General features: G+C 38.1%; 1 protein-coding gene across 11 annotated transcripts in view; it reads right to left on the bottom strand.

The window, feature by feature from the left end:
• Positions 1 to 22,044, bottom strand: part of CTNNA2 (catenin alpha 2) — a 1,463,404-nt gene that overhangs the window by 736,496 nt on the left and 704,864 nt on the right. For all 11 annotated transcript variants that reach the window (NM_001399737.1, XM_024452714.2, XM_011532556.3 and 8 more), the window contains one exon: positions 2,488 to 2,691. In NM_001399737.1, coding sequence (NP_001386666.1) covers positions 2,488 to 2,691 — 204 coding nt within the window. The remainder of the gene's footprint in view (positions 1 to 2,487; positions 2,692 to 22,044) is intronic.

The raw sequence follows: 22,044 nt of genomic DNA, 5'->3' as shown, positions 1-22,044 counted from the left end.
TTTGGCATGTATACAATTTTAGAACAGCTTCAGCCACAAGCAAGCATTGTGTAAGTGGAATGTTCATCTGGGACTGATGAGGAGATTTTTAGAAAACAGAAATGTCAGTTATGCTGATTTTTAAATATTTTCAGTTTAACAACTTGTTTATCCTAATGGTACTGCCTAGCACATTAGGATGAAAACTTGCAAGGTGATCATTTGATAATACCTTTATTCTCAGAGCTTATGAAATTGAAAGAGAAAGATAACAGCCCAGGAACGATAGACTGATTTACTGTTTGCTGTTAACTACAATAGACTTTTCAGTCAGGGCATGGATGTGTATGTGTTTTTGTATTCATACATGCTATATCAAAATAAATACAAATTGACTGTGCAGCAGGAGAAATGAGTGCACTGGACAGGAATTATGAAGGTGATCTGGCTGCATCCAATTCTACCTTGAAATCACCAAACAAGTGTGAAGTCCAACTAAATGTTATACAGTTTACATAAATGTCAAGTAGGAGGTGTTTTATTTCAGGCTTTGATCATGATGGTTCAATGTGAATAGAACTTGTGCATTTTGAAATTTAAGCACTATACCCATTGATGTATTGTCTGTAACCATGTCAAAATAGAAACTAAGATTTCAATAAAGCACAAAACATTCCTGCATCACGAGGCTGCGAACAGAAAACAAAAAGTGCCTGGAGTCAATAAAATACAAAAATCCATCAGCTCTGCTGATCTGCATGAGATTACACTGAAAGAAAAACTTCTAGTTGGCAGGATTCTAGACACCAAACTGAAAATTACATGTCACGTGTTGATCAACTCTTATTTAGTCACGTTCTGTGATTTCTATTTAGAAGAACATACTTTTTTGTCTGATTTATTTATATTGAGATCTTAACCATCACTGTGATCTCTGTAGTTTCTACTTCCTTCTTTGGCAGTAACTATTCATTAATAGAACCACTAGCGTGCCTTAATGTAAAACCAAATTCCACATCCATGTAATTAGCCCTTTGCTATTTTGTTAACAACAACAACGAACAAACAAACAGCGTCTCAGATTTCATAAGCATTCTTCGTTGACACATCTGCTATTCAAAAGATTCACTCAGCTGGGAGACTGTGGGGTCAACATTTCTAGCTGCACCCTACGTAATACCATGGATCAAAATTACAGAAAGTGTTGGTCATCCAGGGTCCTATAGAGACGTCCTCATAAGCAGCTGGGTGCCACATGATGCATCCACATTTTATTCTTTGTGTGCTGAAAAAGGCCAAGTCTTCCAAAATCAAAGAATCTGAAGGTTCATGGAAAGGAAACAAATTTTGTTTTTTTTAGTTTGTTAGGTTTTCTCATTGACATCTTTTTGCTTTCTCAGTGAGTTCTCTGGAGGGTCAGCAGGAGGAGCACTGCTACTGTCAACACTCATTCCTTGCTTGCATGTCTGTTAGCTACATATTTTTACTCATGATGGGAGTGGTAAGATGCTGGAGGGAGAGACACTGAATGGCTGCTTTGTTTCAGCATTGCCTCGGGGTGTTCTAATAATACCTAACATGGACTTCAGTAGCTGTGAGCAGATTTTCAGTGTCTCTGTTACCCACCTGGTAGCTATACAGGGCATTCCTTCAAAATGTAATATCGAGACCTCACTTTATCTACATTTTTCCCCAATTTGTGCTAAATTATCTCAAACCCGAAAGTCCAGGAAAGGGGGAAGCACAGATCATCCACTGTTGCAAGCATCGCCTCTGCTGAATGAATGTAGCAAATCAATACAGCCATAATTTAGTGCCTTTCAAGGCAAAGAATATGAGTTTCATCACCTTCTTGCAGGTTACAGGTACACAGAAACTGTCACATTTTACAACTATAGGAGAGGATGGCTATTATGTGCCAAAATACAATTAGATACCAGTCATACATACCTATTTGAAAACTTAAGAGACTCACTCTTATAAGCAATTCCTGACTATGAATCAATAAAACACCTCCAAATTTTACTACATTTAGAACTTTTCCTTAAACAACCCTATCCACACGTTTTTTAAACCTAGTAGATTTATTAATGCCTCTTAGGGGTGAAGATTCGCATCTACAGCTATCCTTAGGTTTAAAAGTGCTCTTTGTAACAGAGGACTTACTATATCCTCAGCTGTTTCCATCAATCATCTACCTTTACCAATTGAAATCTTACCTACTTCAAAATGCAGCCACTAAAATGACCGAGAAGAAATCAGCCAAGTAAAAAGTGAAAGAGCTTATTCTCCATCCACCTGTTCCATATTAAAACAAACAAACAAAAAATGGATTCAGAAACAACACACACGACACGCGCTCTCCCAAAGCAGTTCTTTGGTTTCACCTGACTCTCTTTGGTAAACACCTGGTCTGTTCTCTTTTCCTGCTATCTATGCTTCCAAAAGAGCAACACGATTGCAGAACAGAATCCACCAAGACATGAGAATGGAGATCCCAAGACTTACATTATTCATGTACTCGCTGAGCAGGTCCTGGAGCGCCTGCCGCACGGCGTTGCACTCCGCCACGATCCTCTCGCGCCGGTCGTCTCGCGTGCAGGAGGAGTCGGCCATCAGCGCTGCGCCGCTGATGATGCTCTCCAGCCTCTCCTCCAGGGACGGCCGGAACCTGGCCTCGCTGAACGTCATGGGGTCCAGGATAATCTTATTCTGAAAGTATCACACACACACACACAAAAATCAGCAGAGAAGAGAGGTCTGCCTTGGCACCCTGTTTTGAAACCAGAAATATCTGAGGCAAGAACAGGAGTCCCCAAGGAGGAGAAACTGGTTACTCAAATTCTAAAGTTGCCTTGACAAAGTATTAACTTTTTCTAGATATTTTGTCCTAAATGTAATCTTCAGCTAAAAGAGCACATCTTATTTGAAGAATATGTTCTTGGCAAAGGCTATCTCAACGGAAGAGCTTTCAAATAAGATTAGGACACTTTTTTGGCATTTTTAAAATACGTAGCCTTTAAGGAAAGAACATTTCAGTGTAATGCTTTGGGGAATTATATAAAGATTTTAGAGCTAAAACATGATAAATAATCAACATCTTAATTATGCATTAGCTGTGGCTTGTATACACACACGTTAATCCTCCTCATGAGAAGCAGATATTCCCATGGCAGGATGCCTTTTGAAACTTGGGCACATAACACCCAACAGGCATATTCAGTACAGGTTAATTTATGCTAGTGTTCTAGAAAAGGATTCCTAATGTGTGTATGAGACTTGTCACAAATAACTGACAGTATCCTTATAAAGGTATTTACCTGTTTGGAAGGAGCCTATATAAGAGGAAAATAGTGATATTTCCTAAAAGGAAGGCGTCACATAGAACATGAGCTTAGCATTTCCCCAGCCAAGTTTTAGGAGCCTGGAAACATGTGGGCAGAGATGCCCCGAGGTAGATGGAAATATGCGTCCAAAATTCAGGAGCTATAACAGTCTTTATAGGGATCTGGTAAATGTCAGGGGTATTTGGACATAAACTAGTGAATTACATACTAGTAAAGTGAATAGAGCCAGAAGAGCAGGCCAGAGAAGACCCCTATACAGAAGGACCAGAATCAAAAAGGAAGACAGAAAGGGTAGTCAGAAAGATAGAAACAGAACTTGGAAAACTCCCAGCAAATGAGGAGGGTAGAGCGTGATGGTATGTGATCATTAACTGTGTGAAGTCTAGAAGCAAAGGTGACATTGACCAAAGGCTGGTTTCCTTTGGGGAGCCTTTTCTGCCTGAAGCAAAGAAGTTCATTCCACAATGATAAGGTAGAATGACCTGCTGCAGGAAATGGTGTGCTTCATTGGGGGTGCACTCTCAGAGGTCCAAGAACCAGAGTGGCAATGATGGGGCAAATGGTCTTCCAACTGTAGAATACTATGGTGCAATTGCCACTCTGTTACTGCTTCTTTTGACGTTCCTTATTCCTTATATATTCACCAAATTTAAAGAGTTGTAAGAAAAGAACAATTTACCATATTTACAAATACAATACGAAACATAAATGAGAATAGGTAGTTATTCTATTGCTAATCTGCACCTGCCGAAGACCTACTATATGCCTACTACTGTACTTAATGCTAAAAAGAAGGGGAGATAAAAGATGCTTTTATGGATTTTTTATGCTGATGTAGTATATACAATAACTGCTTAAGTTATTACAAAGTGAAGTCCAGCTGTATGCTCTGGGAAAGTTTGTTGTAACCCTCCAAAGCATCCTAGGGTGTTTGTTCAGGTTGTGTGCAGAATATCTGGGCTCCAATTCTCTGATTCCTGTTAAAATGCAAATCTCCAGAGCAGAGAGATAGAACCTTTGGGCACAAGAATGTTGAAGTCTTAAGGAATGAGTGTAGGTAGGTTGGGACTTAGAAAGGAACAGGTATACACCAAACACAGACCATGTCTGAAGTCCACTGGAATCTTGGATTTTTTAGAAAATCACTAATTGGTCAAAGCCTCTTTTCAATTTAGAAAGCAGTGCATGAAATCTTGCAGATAAGACAGCTATTCTGTGCCAGCTTTGGCAAGATGATCATTCTTACATTTGTACTCTCTTATATCTTAGAAAACGGATGAAAAAGGGATGTTTACTTTACCCAAAATGTGCTATTTGGGTTTTGTCCTTTGTGCCTTGGTTTTAGGCACAGCTGTTGAGCGTCAAAAAATCATGTGGAGGCTGCAATACAGTGGATGGCCCTATAGGGTTCATTATTACAGGTGAAAGTCCCAAAGGAAAGCTGAGAGGGGAGCACAGATATTCCTGCTATACGTACTAGTGTTGTGTCTGCAATGTCTCTTTCCAGGGGCATCCATTGGAACCATCTCTCTTTCTCTCACATACTCTCTCTCGCTTTCTACTGCCTTTCTGTTGATGCATTTATGATGAACATATGTATATATGTATGTGTGTGTGTGTGTGTGTATATATATAATCCATATAATATACGTTAAGAAATAATATTCTAATTGAAGAAATACCTGGTAAAAATATAATTAGACTATCTTACTTATAAAGATTACTGATTTTCAAAGACCTATTTTATAGAAAACCATATTAACATAAAACATAATGAAAACCATATGTTCTGCTTTAAGATTTCAGGAGACTCTTCAGAATCATATACTGGCTTTAGAACAGGTATTTATTGTACTTTAGGACTAAACGTGTCAAGAACTGCAAATGTGATGGAAATATGGGGAGGTAAATTTGAACTCTTCAGTAAGGACAATTGTAAAACAGTTTCTCTGCAGTAGAGAGAATGTACTAGTGTCATTAGAATACTATTTCCTAAATTATTTTCCATGGAACACTGAGCTTAGAGATATAATGTTTTGATGAAAAAATAAGGTTCCCTGGCCAAATATGTTTTGGAAATACCGCATGACCTACAGCAAATTATCATATGAAATGCTTTGGGGAGCTCTGCACTAAAGGAGTCAGTTCACTGTAGCGTTTCCCAAATCTATTCGAGCATGGAAAGTGCTGCTTTTAAAACGCATGAATTATCTATGAGAACCCAAGGAACACACTTTGGGAAATGTGACAAGAGAGACTTTGGAGTGTCAGCCAATTGAGTTTCCTACCTGCCATGGCCTGGGGCTGTTGTGAAAGTAAAAGCCTGAAACATTGAGCTTGACAAACTCTGCATAAAAGTTACACTATCCATCACATTTCTAATGGAATTATTCATTATTTACAGATCACAGTGGAAAAGCTTTTTAAAAAATCTCCCTGGAAAAGAAACAATAATTTTACAATATTCAGATCTGTATCTGCAGTACAGATGGGGAGCATTGCAATGATGGATGTGAAAAGCAGCAGGGAGAAGCCGCTCGGGAGACAAAAGGCACAAAGAAAAAAGGCCAGTGCACGTGGGCCTGTGTAAGTGTGTGCATGCACATGTGCACGGGAAGAGGTACTGATTGCATGTGGGTGTGTGTCTGTGTGTGTGTGTGTGTGTATCCCGGATGAGATGGGCACTGGTTGTGTGTATGTGGAGCTGTGTGTGTATGTGTGTATGGGGCAAGATATGTGCTATTTGTGTGTGTGTTTATGAATCTATGAATGGGTCGGTACAGTATGTATGCATGGGTGGAGTGGATGCATGTATGTGTACGTGTGTGTATATGCACACGGGCATGTGTATGGAAGGGGCTGTGGCTTATTTGTGTGTATGTAGTTGTATGTGTCTGTCTCTGTCTGTTTTTAGAGAATTGGCCAGGTTTCCAACAGGCTCCAACAAGCGAGAAAATAAGGAAAAAACAGAAATGAAACCAGAGGCTCAAGAGCTAGAGGAAAAGGCTGTATCTATAGTTCCTACAAATAAAAAACCAACCCCTGGAAATGAATCCATCCTGAGCAAGAAATATACAGAGAATGAAAAAGTGAAAAGAAGGAGGAGTATTTGCCATTGTATAATTTGAAAGTAATTAAAAAACTAAGAAACACCCAGGTAAGCCATCTATCCTAACACACTTCAGGGACATTCAGATCAGCAAACAGCCATGAACACAGGGCTCTAACAGGCCTCAGTTCTCCATACCAGCTCTGCCTGTCCTCACCTCTCTGAGTGGCTGCCCTCTGCTAGCAGGAAGGGGCACCAAATCACCACCACCACCATCATCACCATCATCATCATCATCATCAACATCCAGGAGCCAGATTCCCCTCCCTGGTCACAGAAGAATACTTTAAGAGGGCAGCACACCAACACCAAAGAGTGAAAGGATGAGGAGAAGCCTTCCTGTCTCTCCCTTCGCAGCAAAAGTATGCTCCTGTGACCGGCTCTTATGCTGTTTACAACTTTACAGACTTATTTTAGTTCATTCTTTTACATTGTAAATATCCCCATCTCCTGTCGGCATTCTTAAAGCTCATTTAGTCATTTTATCTTTTTGACCTTTTAGTTCCATCTTACATTGTCATTTTAGTTCATTTACAGATAGAGGGCCTGCATTTCTTATTTTATCTTTTTCTTATGTTTTAAGTTAATCTATGTTTATCATGTCTATTTTCTTATTTGCTTATTTGCTTTGCATACTATTTTGTGCTTTATGAGTTTTACTTATTTTTATTAACATCTCTACTTTAAAAAATTATTGTTTTCATTCTTACAGTTTATGGAGTGGCAATTGGAATGCATGGACATAAAGATAACAGCCACAATAATTCACCCCCAAGCCAACAAGACTAGAATCCTATTCTGCCTTCAAGTCGGTGCTATAACAGTCTCTCTAGTCTCACATAATTGATCTCCCATTTGCTCTCATGTGGCGCTCTATAAAAATTTTAACCTAAAATAATTTAGCAGACTATGTAGTTCGAAACTACTTCCCAGAATAATACATTTACCAGCACTCACCACACACACAATTGTTGTAACAGCACTACTTTTAAATTGCTCTTATCATTCATTGTCTCCACAAAAAGCTATGTGATCTAAAATTTCAGTATACAATGAGACACCGAGCTGGCTTGATGCAAGCTCTGACATAAGAGGAGAAAACAGACAGACCTCCATCAAAGCAAGTATTTGGATGTATTACAAATGGTTTGATGGGTTCAAAATGCAGTGTCTTTGAGATCCCTATCTTCCCATCTTATTGAATAGGGAAATGATGCCAGAGATGTTGTCCCATGGTCATTCAGCTCACAAATAAGGTCACCAGGATTTGAGCACAGGTCTTTTGATTTCAAGCCCAGTGTTCCTTCAACTGTATAAGATTGTCCACATTTAGGTGAAATGAGTCTAATATGTCATAATTACAATTATAAAGTATATTACTTTAAAACGAAAATTTAATTCTTTTAAATTAAATATAATACTTAAGTATTATCTGTCATGCTGTCCTTTTTATGCTATCTGAGTCACCTAACCCTCCCAATAGATAACTGAGAGTATAATCATTCATTCAACAAATGAGTGCCAGTTACTGTAGGAGTCTAAGAGCACATATTAAATAATCCTTTCTTCAAGAGGTTGACTCTCTAATCAAGCACAAAAATATGTACAACCAATTGTAATGGAGAAATGGCTAATGATGTTATGGAATGACTGAATGATGGCAATTTGCACAGTTGAGAGGTAGAAAGTAAAAAAATACTTCCAGAAGAGTTTATCCCTCAGCTGAGACTTAAAGAGTGAAAAGCGGTTGGCCAAGCAAAGTTAGGAGCAGGAAGGGGCAATGCAGATGGGCTAGGAGGTGAGAGATGGCATATTATATGAAAAATATTACAAGAGATCAACTGAAGCTGGTCACATGTACGGTGCCATAGAGGGGCCCCAAGCCACTCTCCTCTGAGTTAAACTGCTGGGGGGCATAGTTAACTGACCATCTCCATCTGCTGCACCTGTAGTTCTACTGCAGTCTCATGTGTAGGCTGCACTTGACCCCAGGCAGCGCCAGTCAATCACTAAGCACAGGCGCATGCTCCTGCCCAACAGGGACTCCTCCAATGACCAGCTTCAGCTCCTGATCCGGGCTCCCCACTGGCCTGACTGGGACTTGCTGGGAACAGTGCTGAGCCTCTTCCTACTCAATCCACTTTCTTTCCTGCTCTCCTTTCAAAGGTGTTTGTCCCCATAGCAGTCTAAAAGCTCCACAAAAGCCCAGTCACTCCTATTTTATCCTTCACAGGCAATTCCTCCTTATACATAAAATCCCATCTACCTTGCTTCCTCAAGGGCCTGAATGGACATAAATAGGAATGGGAGATGCAGTTGGAGAGAGAGAAAGAACCAGGTTCTGAAGCGACTTCTCTGCCATGTTACAAAGTTTTCAATTTGAGAACACCCCTTTAGGCAATGATGAATCATCAGAGATCTTAAAGCAAAGGAGTGACATAATCCTGTTTGGGTTTAGACAGTTTCTTATTGCAGCTAAGGAAGTTAGCTTTGGCAGGACTGCAAGCAGAAGGCAGGACAGCATCAAGCCTTCAGAGCCCAAAAGAGAGGTGAGGAAACTACAAATCAGGATTGTGTCTATATGGATAAAGAGAAGGTAATGAATTTAAGAAAAATGTAGAATGTCAATCTGGCAGGATTTGAAAATATATAGGCTATGACAATGAGGGAGAAGGAGACAAAGATAAAACCTAGACCTCTAACACTAACAACACCAATAATGCAGATATCAGCAAACTACATCCTAGGAGTCAAACTCCTACTTTGCAAATAAAGTTTTATTAGAACACAGTCAGGCTCATTCATTTACATACTGTCTATGCCTATTTTTACACTGCAATGTTAGAGGGGAATGGTTAGGACAGAAACTGTATGGCACACAAACCTTGGAATATTTACTCTTGGCCCTTCAAGAAAACATTTGCTGACCGGGCGCAGTGGCTCATGCCCGTAATCCCAGCACTTTGGGAGGCTGAGGCAGGCAGATCACAAGGTCAGGAGTGCGAGACCAGCCTGGCCAATATGGTGAAACCCCGCCTCTACTAAAAATACAAAAATTAGCCGGGCATGGTGGCACACACCTGTAATCCCAACAACTTGGGAGGCTGAGGCAGGAGAATTGCTTGAACCTGGGAGGCAGAAGTTGCAGTGAGCTGAGCTCGCACCACTGCACTCCAGCCTGGGCGACAGAGCCAGACTCCATCTCAAAAAAAAAAAAAAAGAAGAGGAAGAAAACATTTGCTGATCCTTGAACAACTGTGAAAGATAACAGATGAAGAGCAGGTGAAGTTCTTATGAGCCCTTTAACTGGAGAAGTCTGGTGGAAGGTTGATTATAAGTATATGAACATCGGGTAGTGGTATGGGCACCTGTATTAATATGCAAAATCTATCGCCTTCATATAAACAAGGAATACCCAATAGGAAGACCTAATATCCAATAACAAGAAATGCAAAGCAAAAAAACACACCTAGATGTCAAGTAGATGTAGCAAGAAATGTGTTCAGAGAGATGAATTATTGTGCAGGCATGACCTCAGGGCAAAGAGCAGGGCTGGAATTGGGATGCGTGCCCTCTAGCTCTGGCGTCTATGCTCTTAGCCACTGCACTAATTGTTTACCTCATGTATCCTTTCTGCATGCACGATGCTAATCATCGTGAGGGAATCAATGCAACAGCCATTTCCCCATTTCAAAAACTAAAGTCACAGTAGCACAGTAGCATATTATTCTTTCATACTTCAAGAGGGGATCAAAAACAGCAAATAATCACCAGGAATAAAACCTCTAAAATGCTACTTTCTCCTAATTTTAATCCTCACCTCTGTTTCAAACTGGTCAGTAGGTATTACAATATATTTCTTCTACCAAGAAGGTAAATACAAATATTGCTCAGTCTTTCTTTGGCTAGGAGTTAACCGTCTTAAAGCTGAGTTTGTATCTAATTGTACTCAGCTGTAATTGAGAAAGATGGGCATACCTGACAAGACCTGGAGCATAAAGTAATGTTTTTAATTACAGTTAAGTCAGTAGGAAAGCTCTAGCACACATAGAACACTAATTCAATGGTTTTACCCACAGATTATGTTTCAAAGACTTTTAGTGCACAGCTGACAATGGTCTTTACTAGCCAAGAAACAGCTTGTTAAAGAGTAGGAAGAAAATCTTACTCATCTTTACACTTTCTGGCTTTCAACATTGGTTAAACCTTTAAGTGAACTACTTAGTCATCTGAAACGTACACAGAATTTTCAAAATGCCAAGAAAGACAACAAAGAAAGCAATTTGATAATATAAAGTGTGGCTGATTTTCATAACTTTTTTTCCAAAATCTAAGCTAATCAGCATGGAAAATGCAAATGCTAGTGGTATGAAAAAGTCCTGTGATTCTGTGATTTTCTTTGTTGATTGTGACAATTCTGTAAGACAAATGTGTCCTGGATTTTTACTACCTTCATAGTTCAAGGCAACAAGTAAGGAAAATAGTAAATTGCTGTTCTGCCTCATAAACACCAGGCACTTACCACCTGCTGTCCAGCATGACTATTTTGAATCAAGCAAGCAGAAGAAAGAATAAATGTCAACATGCCTCTATGCAGTCATTCACTTTTATCTTTTAAATCTTAAAAAAAAAAAAAACTGAAAGAGAAAGTTAACATTAGTCAAAGTCATTCTTTCAAAGGAATATGTCCTTCTGATATGGGGCAATTAAAGCAATGAAAACCAGAAAACCTAAATGACAATGCATGTTTAAATGTAGGTATATTTCTCCATTAATTATTCTGAGCTTTTCCCAGCAATGTGCTACAATGTACCCATGTCTTCACTTTCTGTCTTTTGTAACTTAATCATCATCCCCATTCTATGTACCCTTTAAAAAATTTATATTTTTAAATTTTTAGTCTTTAAGGCTACATAGTACGTGTATCTATTTATGGGGTACACAGGATATTTTGAGACAGGCATACAATGTGTAATAATCACATCAGGGTAAATGAGGTGTCCATCACCTCAAGCATTTATCGTTTCTCTGTGTTACAAACATTCCCATTATACTCTTTTAGTTATTTTTAAATGTATTATGAATTATTATTGGCTCTTCTATTTACCTTTTAATATTTAAATTTTGTGGTTTGCCTTGTCTTGGGGTATAACTGGGTAAGTTTTATATTTCACGGATACCACAGAGCTTCCTTCCTTCTTCCTCCCAAGCATTAAATTCAAGATTCTGTTTCTTTCCACATAACGAAGAGGGGGCAAAGCCATGTAGTCGCAGGTACCGATGCCATAGGTCAGGTGAAATATGACAGTGACTGAGCATGACTATAGAAATGTTAGCTTTGGTTTAGCTTAGGACTTCATGCTGTGTTGACCCATTACCAAGTGTCTAGGTCACAGAAAGCTTTAGTGGGATCAAAATTTGTTAAAGCATTTTATTTTATTCATTATGTTATTTTGATGCACTGATACAATCCCAAACCAAACAAAACAACATAAACAAGTCCAGCAATACCTACTGATTAACTCTTCACTATGGAATCCTTCTTAAAACAAAGAAAAAAGTTTGCTATCCAGCTTAAAATACTTGACTAGTAACCCCTGAGGCAGCCTCTCCCAGTTTCCCATTAAAATGCCTATAAACAGGGAAATAAAATTGGAATTTTACAGCACTGAAAATTGAGAATGAAAGACACCTATAGACAATGAGGCATGATCATAATTCTGGCTCTGAATGCTTTAAATACTTATTTTAAAGACTGGACTCTGAGATAAAAGCATAAATCAAGATCATTTAAATAAATTAACCGAGGTGTCTAAATCAAAAGAATGTTATTTGTTTGGTTTTAAACACTTACTCTCCCTGTAGTGTATCAATAATTAATACAGATACATTTTCATCTTTTTCATTCTGTGCCAAGCTTTCCCAGGGTGAATCTTTCTATCTTTACATGAAAAGTTTCTCTTGACGTAATTGGGGTAGCACTAGGAATGAAAGATACCAAGGACCTTGAGTTTTAATCATGTATTTTTTATTAAGCTACAGAAAAATTCTAACCACCATTTTAGATTTGCCTTAATTTTTAAATTGCAAAGTATTTTATAAATAACTTTTGCTTCGCAGGCATATAGTTAAAAATAAACTAATTATGCCATTTATCTACTTAAGATGTTATTTGTAATTAAACAGTTCAGTTTAATTGGAAATAAATGACAAAGATAATGACTTAATAATTAAACAGCACTTTCTATCCTTAGATACTTAATGTGTTTTTTAAGAGAAATTTACCTAAGCTCACATTAGCTTCGTTTTTGAGAAGAAGCTTATATTTAGAAAGACAAAGTGATTTACCAAAGCAAATGAATAAACTGGGCGAGGAAGTTCAGCTCTGGGCTGTTCCTACTGGATTGTGAAATCTAGTGGATGCCAACTTCATTTTCCCTAATCCCATCATCTCTGTGTGTTGCTGAGTTGCTATGGCATTTCAGGAGCACATTCTCTAGCTCCGACAAGGATACTAGTTTACAATTAAGTACGTAAAGCAGGGCAAAGATAATAATCCTTAGCTTTATATTATGAATTGATTAGAAAGTGAGTATCCAAAATGCACTTAATCAAATCAGATTTTTAGAGGGCTTAACAAAGGAAATGGATTTTATTCTTTTCCTGAAAAAAAACAGTCATGTTATCTCTAGTCTCCTGGAACGTTCTACATTCTTGACCATCGTTTTTATTCAGTATTCATCCTCTTTGAGCTCTGTGTGTTTTGAACACAATTTACCACCCGCTGACTAAGTTAAGCCTCCCCTATGCTTTACAAAACCCTGCTTTACTGTGGTTCTATTCATACTCCTCCTTCCCTTCACTTGCCCAGTTCTTCTTCCTGGATCTACCTCAGTAAGTTGGTATATCTCAAGGCCCTGCTCCCTGTTCTCAGTAGTCCTCTCAACAACTCTTTCTTAGAGGGCTCAACTACTCTCTACTATCACCTGCTTGTGAAAGAGAACCAAAGTACCATGTCCAATCCCGACCCTCTAAGAAGCTGGCCCTTACTACAGCTGTACACTGGACATGATCTGTTGGGAGTTCTGCCATCACCTCAAATATCAGATGTATGAGAAAGTACTTCTCATTTTCCTCCAAAACCTAACACTCTCACTTATAAGGAGGAAAAATGGAAGTAGAAGGGAAACAAGAATCCATAATCTCCCTTCATTCTCCTAATGAGAAATTAGAATTAATGAGAAATCTTCACTTTATAAATGCAAGAACCGTTCCTCGGTCAGGTTAGGTGACTTGATGAAGGCCACACAGTGGAAGACTTGAGAAGTCTTTCTGACTCCAAGGCCCGTGCACTTGTAGCTGTGTTCTCTTGGGAACCTATGTTGAAAGATCAAGCATCAATATAATCTAAGACCGGCCGGGCACAGTGGCTCACATCTGTAATCCCAGCACTTTGGGAGTCCAAAGCGGGTGGATCACAAGGTCAGGAGTTCGAGACCAGCCTGCTCAATATGGTGAAACCCCATCTCTACTAAAAATAAAAAAAAACTTACCTGGGCATGGTGGCGGGCACCTATAATCCCAGCTACTCGGGAGGCTGAGGCAGGAGAATCACTTGAACCCGGGAGGCAGAGGTTGCAATGAGCTGAGATCACACCACTGCACACCAGCCTGGGTGACAAAGTGAGACTCCATCTCAAAAAAAGAAAAAAGAAAGAAAAGAAACCATATATATAATCTAAGACCAAGGTATAAAATGTTACAGGGGTTAAGAGTTGGATGGTGATATGGTTTACATGTGTCACCTCCAAAATTCAGGTGTTGCCAAGGTGATAATATTAAGAGGTGGCACGTTTAATAGCTGATTGGGACATAAGGCTCCTCCCTTTTGAACTGGATTAAGGCACTTATAAAAGAGGTTTCAAGGAGCATTTGGCTAGCTTGCCCTTCTGCCTTCCGCCATACCAGGATCCAGCATTCTTCCCCTCCATAGGGGAAGGGCACCATCTTGGGAGCAGAGAACAACCCTCACCAGACAACCAAACATGCTGGCACTTTGATCTTGGATTTCCCAGTGCTATAACTGTGAGGAAACAAAATTTTGCTCTTTGTAAATTACCCATTCTTGGGTATTTGGTTTTAGAAGCACAAATGGACTAAGATAGATGGCTTGGATTAGAAACCTGGCTCCAATTCCTTCTAGTTGTAATTCTTTCTAGCTGAGTAGGTTGCTTAAATGCTAAAAGCGTCTCAGCTTCCTCATTTGAAAAACAGGAATGAATCTTAGCAGTACCTATACAACAGTGTTGTTGAGAAAGTTAAATAATATAAGTAAAGAGATTTGAACAATATATGAAATGTAGTGAGTTATAGATATTAAACATCAAATCATTTCAAATAGCTATTTTTAATGTAATACTTTATATTTCCATGGTCAGTCCATATTCCCCCCTTATTCAAGTCATGATCATCTCCCATTTCCTTCATCGAGACTTTAAATTTATCTTTTTTTTTTCTCGGTAAAGCATATTTTCCTAACAGCCTAGTCTTAAAATCCTGCTTAACCACACTACCCCACTGGCCTCAAACCTTCAACGGCTCCCCATGGCCTGTAATAGGTTATTATCTAGGACCCGACAAGTTTCAGATGCTGGACTCTTACCTAGTAATTCTCCAATTTCATTTCTATTAGATTAATTTTGTGAGTTATATCAAAATTCATAAGGGAATAAAGCAATGAGTTGCATTTTCATCCAGCCCTTGAATTGAGATGTCATTTTCAGCAAGCATTGTGTAAAAAAAATATAATCTCACCTCTACTCAGTTCATGACTAAGATGCCTGGCCTTCAAGATTCTCAGCAATCCGGCGCAAGTCTCTGCCTCTCAAACTTCGTCTCTCCTCATGAACCCCCGGCTCCTGCCAAAGTGGTCTCTGCATTGCCCCACCCCAGTATGCTTCATGTGTAACCGTGTTATTAATTCTTCTCTGCTGACTGTTTCAGCCCCTTCCTCTCTGATGCTTCTTGGCAGCGTATGTGGATCCTTCTCTGGAAACACGATCTTTAACTCTCTTGTGTACAAAACTTTCCTCTTTAATTCCCATTATTAAGCTTCTTTTCACTTATTCAAATTTCCCTTTTGGCTCTTGTCTGATATTACCATGCACTGGCAGCAGTGCGCCTGTGTGCACACACGTGTGTGTGAGAGAAACAGATCACCAGTTAGGATGCTTTCCTTATAGGTCGGTATCTTCTGCTCCACCCAGCTGAATGTTTCATACATAAGTATTTGATAAACATTTGCTGATTAGTGGAGTCAGGATTCCTAAAACAAGAATATCCTTTTCCCAACCTTTACCAAAAGGCTTCTGGAGCAAAATAGGTCACTACAGTGAACCTAATATTTGCAGATGAATATATGTGGATGGCCTTTTAGTTAGATATGTACATTTAGGTCTACAGTAGCAATTGATGTGGTTCAGTGTACTTGAGATTCAGAATTATTGGAATGGGGATGAGTAACCTATTGTCATATGACAAACGTTAGTTCTCCTTTTTTTTTTTTGAGACAGGGTCTCATACTCTGTTGCTCAGGCTGGAGTACAGTGGCACGATTTTGGCTCACTGCAATTTCTGCCTGCCAGGCTCAAGTGATCCTTCTATTCCAGCCTCCCAAACAGCTGGGACTACAGGCACATGGCACCACACCTGGCTAATGTTTGTATTTTTTGTAGATACAGCGTTTTGCCACATTGCCCAGGCTGGTTTCGACCTCCCAGACTCAGGCGATCCACCTCCCTCAGCCTCCCAAAGTGCTGGGATTATGGGCATGAACCACCACACTCAGCCTAATTCTACTTTCAATGGGCAGGAGACCAGCTGAGACAGCCACCTCCTGTGGTTGGTAAATTCTGAGAATCTCCTCTGAAGATTTGATTAAGCCAGGGTCAACAAACAATGGTCTGTGGACCAAAATAGATCTGCTGCCCATTTTTATATGGTCTTAAGCTTATAAAGCTAATAATAATTTTTACATTTTTAAGTCGGTGGATAAACCATGGGCCTACTACTGATATGTTACATTTCTGTCCAAAATCCTCTCCCTTACGATACCCATAAATAGTCAAAAGGCATGCAGCCAAAAAAAAAAAAAAAAATTAAGAAATTTCACAAACCACATAATCCCACAATTAAATAATTAGTAACTGGATGATCAATGGTTGAATTTTTTTTAAGTTTAATACTAGGAGAAACAAACTTCTTATCCCAGAAATTAGTTAAACTCTATGTCGGTGGTTTGAGATGCTAAATTATCCATTTAAAACGGAAAGTCAATTCATATTTCTCAGAAGCAATTGTGGCTTAATTGCTGTTATCAACCTAATAAATTAGTAGGTGATAACCACAAACTGGTTATACACTCAAATTTCATGTCTGATGAAAGAATAATTGTACCAATATTCTGCAAATATGAAAAGGAAATGTGTTCACGGGCCGCAAGGGAAATGCATACACCTTGAGCATAAACTCATCTATCTTCTTCTGTCTATTTTTAAGCAGGCAAATTAAGATGGGAAAGAAACAGTTTTTGTCTCACAGGAATAATGTGTGATATGTTAATTGCTTCTCAAGAAACATTGCATGGCCTGAAAATACGCTTTTTGCTTAATGAGAATGTCATGTTCTCTTTTGAACTCTGAATTGTGATGCACATCTGTTAACGATCATTTAAATTATATATAATAGATTTTCTGTGTAACACTGGAAAAGAGAAGCCCTAAGAGAGTTAACTCAAGAAGATGATGCGTGCCCATTGGAACATAATAGCATGATCATGTAGCCATGGGCTATCTATTGTGATTGGTATGGCATATACCAACATTCCAGAAGACTGAGAAGTTAGGATGGATAAACTGATAGCTACTAAGATCAAACAGTTAATATATTCATTTAAGCAGCCATTCAACAAATATTTCTTTAATGTCTTTGTGCTAAAAGTGCATGTGAAAGTGTGAACAATACATGATCTCTGTCTATTTGGTGCTCACATTTGGAGAGACAGAAACAAAAAACAGAACAATATTCTTAACAATATGCATAAAGTACAATAGTAGCATAGAAGGAATAGTGGCATAGAAATTGGGGTAGTTAGGAAAGGTTTCAAAAAATAAGTAGATCTGGAAGGCTGAATATAAATTTATTATTCAGAAAAGAAGGGAAGGAAGGAACAGACAGAGGAACTCCCATGAGGGCCAACACATGGATTAAACAGTGACTATGTACCTGAAAATGATAAACAGTTCATTACGGCAGAATGTGGAATACAATGTGTGGAAAAGGAGGCTATGCAATGGGAGATGTATGCAGGGACCTACGGAAACGATTTGGTACTGTGCTAAGAGCTTTAAAGTTGATCCTGAAGACAGAGTTTTACTAGTAAATAATATGTGACTAGCATTTTAGAAAGGCTGGGCTTACCAAGATGATGGAATACAGAGGGAAGGAGTTGGTGGGGCGGGGGGCAGGGCAACCAGTTAGGAAGTTATTGCAATGATCCAGGCAAAAAATATGGGCCTGATTAGCCAGTGTTCATGAAGATGGGAGAAACAAATCAAGAGTTCTAAAGGGAACTGAATTCATAGCATATCAAGGTTAACTGGAGAGAAAAGTGGGCAGGATTCTCAGTTTTCTGGATTCAATGGCTATATTACCAAACGTAGTTCCTTTAGCTTAAAAAAGAAGAAGAGGAAGAAAGAGAAGAAGAAGAAGGAGGAGGAGGAGGAGGAAGAAGAAGAAGAAGAAGAAGAAGAAGAAGAAGAAGAAGAAGAAGAAGAAGAAGAAGAAGAAGAAGAAGAAGAAAACAGCCTAAGCTTGACAGAATAAAAATGCTCAATTTAGTTAGAGAATTTTTCAGATACTTAAAAATCATTCAAATTCAGATGTTACATACACAGCTAAACAGATGTCTAGAGCTCAGGAGAAAGTTTAGTTATCCTCAGATAAAGTTAGTCTAAAAAACTATTATTTGTATAATTATAAATGTAAAAACATAAATAGCATAATTGACTTAAAATATCTCTAAAGAACAAACTGCAGGATTAGGGTTGTTGACATTAGCAAAAGTAATAGAAAATCAAAGTTACACTGGTTTGAGAATCAGTTTGTTGGAAGCTTTTGGGTCAAAGACTGATACATATGATTTATACCTTATTTCCTAGCATATTATTCTCTAATAATAAACTCATCATTTACTTTTTCAAGGGTGTGGCAATTGGCCACCATATATTAATTTAGGTTGGATTGTAAATGTCTAAAATTGGGGAGCCCAAATTAAAGAGTTGGTCAATATTAACTCAATGTATAGCATACATTTTGTTAAAGTAACAAATATTGAAACTTAATATCTTTAACTTTTAACCAAAGAGGTAACCAAGGCAGTTCCACTTGAAAACCTCACAAGAACCAGCAGCCTCCTCCTCTTCCCAATCCCATAAAAAAATAAGTCAACCTACTTGTAGTTGTGAGTGGGACCTCTGGAAAGAGATTCTTGTGTAAGCAGAAGAGAAGAGAGGCATGGAAGCCTATGATTTTTAGAAAGTTAACTTTAGTGGCCATGTGAGAAAACGGGCTGAAGGAGGACAAAACGGTGGAAAAGATATCACTTAACAGGCTTTTTTTCATAATGAGACACAACAGTCTGGCACAATCAACTATTCTCAAATATTTTTTTACTACCTATCATATGTGAAAAGTGATCTGGGGAGAGATTGCTATGAGATTTTCTCATCAAGGATTTCTCAGCCACGTCATGGAAATAAGACATGTCTGTGACCATAATAATAATGTGGTAAAGTCTAACAATCAGGGACGGGTATAGTGCTTTGGTAATTTACTTTGGAAATGTCAGTGTAAGAAGAAACTCTTTCTTTATTTTTAACAATTAGAGCTTTTAACAATTAGAACAAGTCATCTGCCTCCACCCCAATATTTCCTCTCAATAATGTCCTGCAAAGACAAAAGTCCAGATGTTATGGATGTTGCAGTGGGAACTTCCAATATTATGAAAGTGATACTGGATGGCCTCAAATATCTTTCTCAATTTTGAAGTTTTATGGGCCTATGAGAAAAGAAATGCAGCATCATAGTAGCTAGTTATCTTCAGAAATGAATGGATTATGCAGATCTCTGTCTGTCTCTTTGTCTGCCTGTCTCTTTCTCTTTCTTTCCCCTACTGGGGATAAAATACAAGTGCCCTATCTTTAAAATGTCATGTGTTTTATTATTTACACTGACCTAATTGGAAATCACATTCTATTATATTTTAAATAATGTTTCTTAAGTAAAGGTTCATAAAATACGGAAAAGAAAGTTTTCAGTATTATTTCATAATCCACCAGGAACAAATTTTACTCTATTTTGTGGGGTTTTTTTTTAATACAGGTAATGAGAATAGGCGTGCATGAATTAGTATAACTTTGGTTAGTGATTATTTGCAGGGACACAATGTTTCATGGCCATGACTGTCTAAAGTCAATATTTGCAGAGGTTTTGTTATACATAGCCTTCCATTAAATTAATACTTAAACTAGGCAAAACTAGCAAGCTTACAGGAGCTCTGGTACAACTCTTCTATAAATCCACAAATCTTAACAGAATCAAAGAAATATTCTCTGAAGTGTCTGTATGTATATATATGGATGTAAAAATGTAAAATAAAGTTGATTTTATCTACTTAAAAATAGTTAAGGAGTGTGTGTATGGGAGAAGAGCAAACATGTATACAAATGACAAGCCAATATGATAAAATATTAACAATAGTTAATAAAGGACATACCAGTGTTCCTTATACTACTTTAATATTTGCAACATATCTGTAAACAGATTTAATTTTTCGCAAATACTATGCATATTTTTTATTAAAGAATATTCATGGAAAAAAGTTTGGAAAATAATAAAAATAGGAAAAAATATTCACAGTCACCACAACTCAAAAGAAAAATCATAAGCATTTTGACATATATATATATATTTTCAGGTTGTTTTGCATTTTCAGTATAAATTTGTTTCTTCCTACTTACTTCAGGAAAACTAATTTCTAAGGTATTGTAATATTTATTAAGTGTGCCTTTGCCTATGTCATTTTAAGTTTATTTTGCTGATCCAGATTTTGAAAGTGATTCTGACATGTAGACTTGAGAGAATCTGAAAATAAAAACAGCATGCATCCACTGGCCAAAGGGCTGCCACACTCTGGGGGTTGGTGGCAGATAACCGCGTTATCTTCTCCTCCCTAAGAGACCTACCGCTCCATCAGATCTCTACAAATGTCATCTTCTTCAAATCTGTGACAGATCTTTGTAAAAGAAAAATGTCCATGGAAAACTTGTATTTGGTCAGTGATGTTTTTTATCTTAAGTACTTGTGCCAAACACAAGATTGTGTTGTTAAAATGTAGGATCTTAAAATCTTTGAAATATATATTCAAATTAATTAGAGCAAAAATTCTACACAGCGATTCAGTTCTCAAATACATCACCTGAGAAGATTAGCCATGTACTTGCTTTAAAATAAAACACGATTCTTAACTTCCATGCAAATCTGGTCAGTTTTGGTAGGCACAGAAAATATCTTAGGAAACCCTGTAGTTAAAACCTCCCAACTATAAATTCATTTGGGCCCTCAAGTAATATGTATGGGCATCTCCTGGAAGAAATGAAGCTGTAAAATGTAAAGATCTGCGCTTTTTATTTTGATATAGAAAAATGTCCAAATATCCTATGGTCTGAATGTCTGTGTGCCCTCAAAATTCATATGTTGGAATTTAATACCCAAAGTGATAGTATTAAGAGGTGTGGGCTTTGTGGGGTGACTATATCTGGAGGGATCTACCCTTATCAATGGGATTAGTGCCCTTATAAAAGAGGCTTGAGGGGCTCCCTGCCCCTTCCACCATGTGATGACACAGTAAGAAGGCATCACCTTTGAAGCACAGAGTGAGCGCTCACAAGAAACTGAGTCTGTCAACACCTATCCTGAACTCCCTGGCCTCCAAAACCATGAGCAATAAATTACCATTGTTTATAAATGACTCAGTCTAAGGTATTCTGTTACAGAAGCCCAAACAAACTGAGACAACATATTTTATATGCTGTGTACTTGTGAAAGATTATCTTAAAACTTTTTAAACAGATGCCAAAACTAAGAGAAGAAAGGAAAAGAAAATAATATCCAGACGATCACCAGTGTAGACCTCAGTGTCCCAAATAAGCTTAAGAAGCATGATTAAGGTTGTAGATGATAACAGCAAGAGATTTTCAAACAGATGGATGGAGAAATAATGTTTTCCTGGTCCTTTCATAGGATCTGCTAAAGTGAGGAAAGTACTAAACCTGGAAAACAAGCAGTGTCAGTTTCAAACTCCTTCACAGGACACTTGGGGAAGAGACAATCTGGTTGGGAGGGAGACAGGACCTGTCTTCAAACTGCATTTGCATACCATGCACATTCTTAGATTGCATGATTATTTGGCAGCATCTTTTGGACAGAACATGTTTAAAATACGATAAACTGCTTCAGGCTGTGGTTCCTGGATTCATCAGGGACCACAGT

Source organism: Homo sapiens, chromosome 2, assembly GCF_000001405.40.
Source record: "Homo sapiens chromosome 2, GRCh38.p14 Primary Assembly".
Classification (NCBI taxonomy): domain Eukaryota; kingdom Metazoa; phylum Chordata; class Mammalia; order Primates; family Hominidae; genus Homo; species Homo sapiens.
Note: the sequence above shows the minus strand (reverse complement) of the source record. Positions and strands in the feature narration are given on the sequence as shown.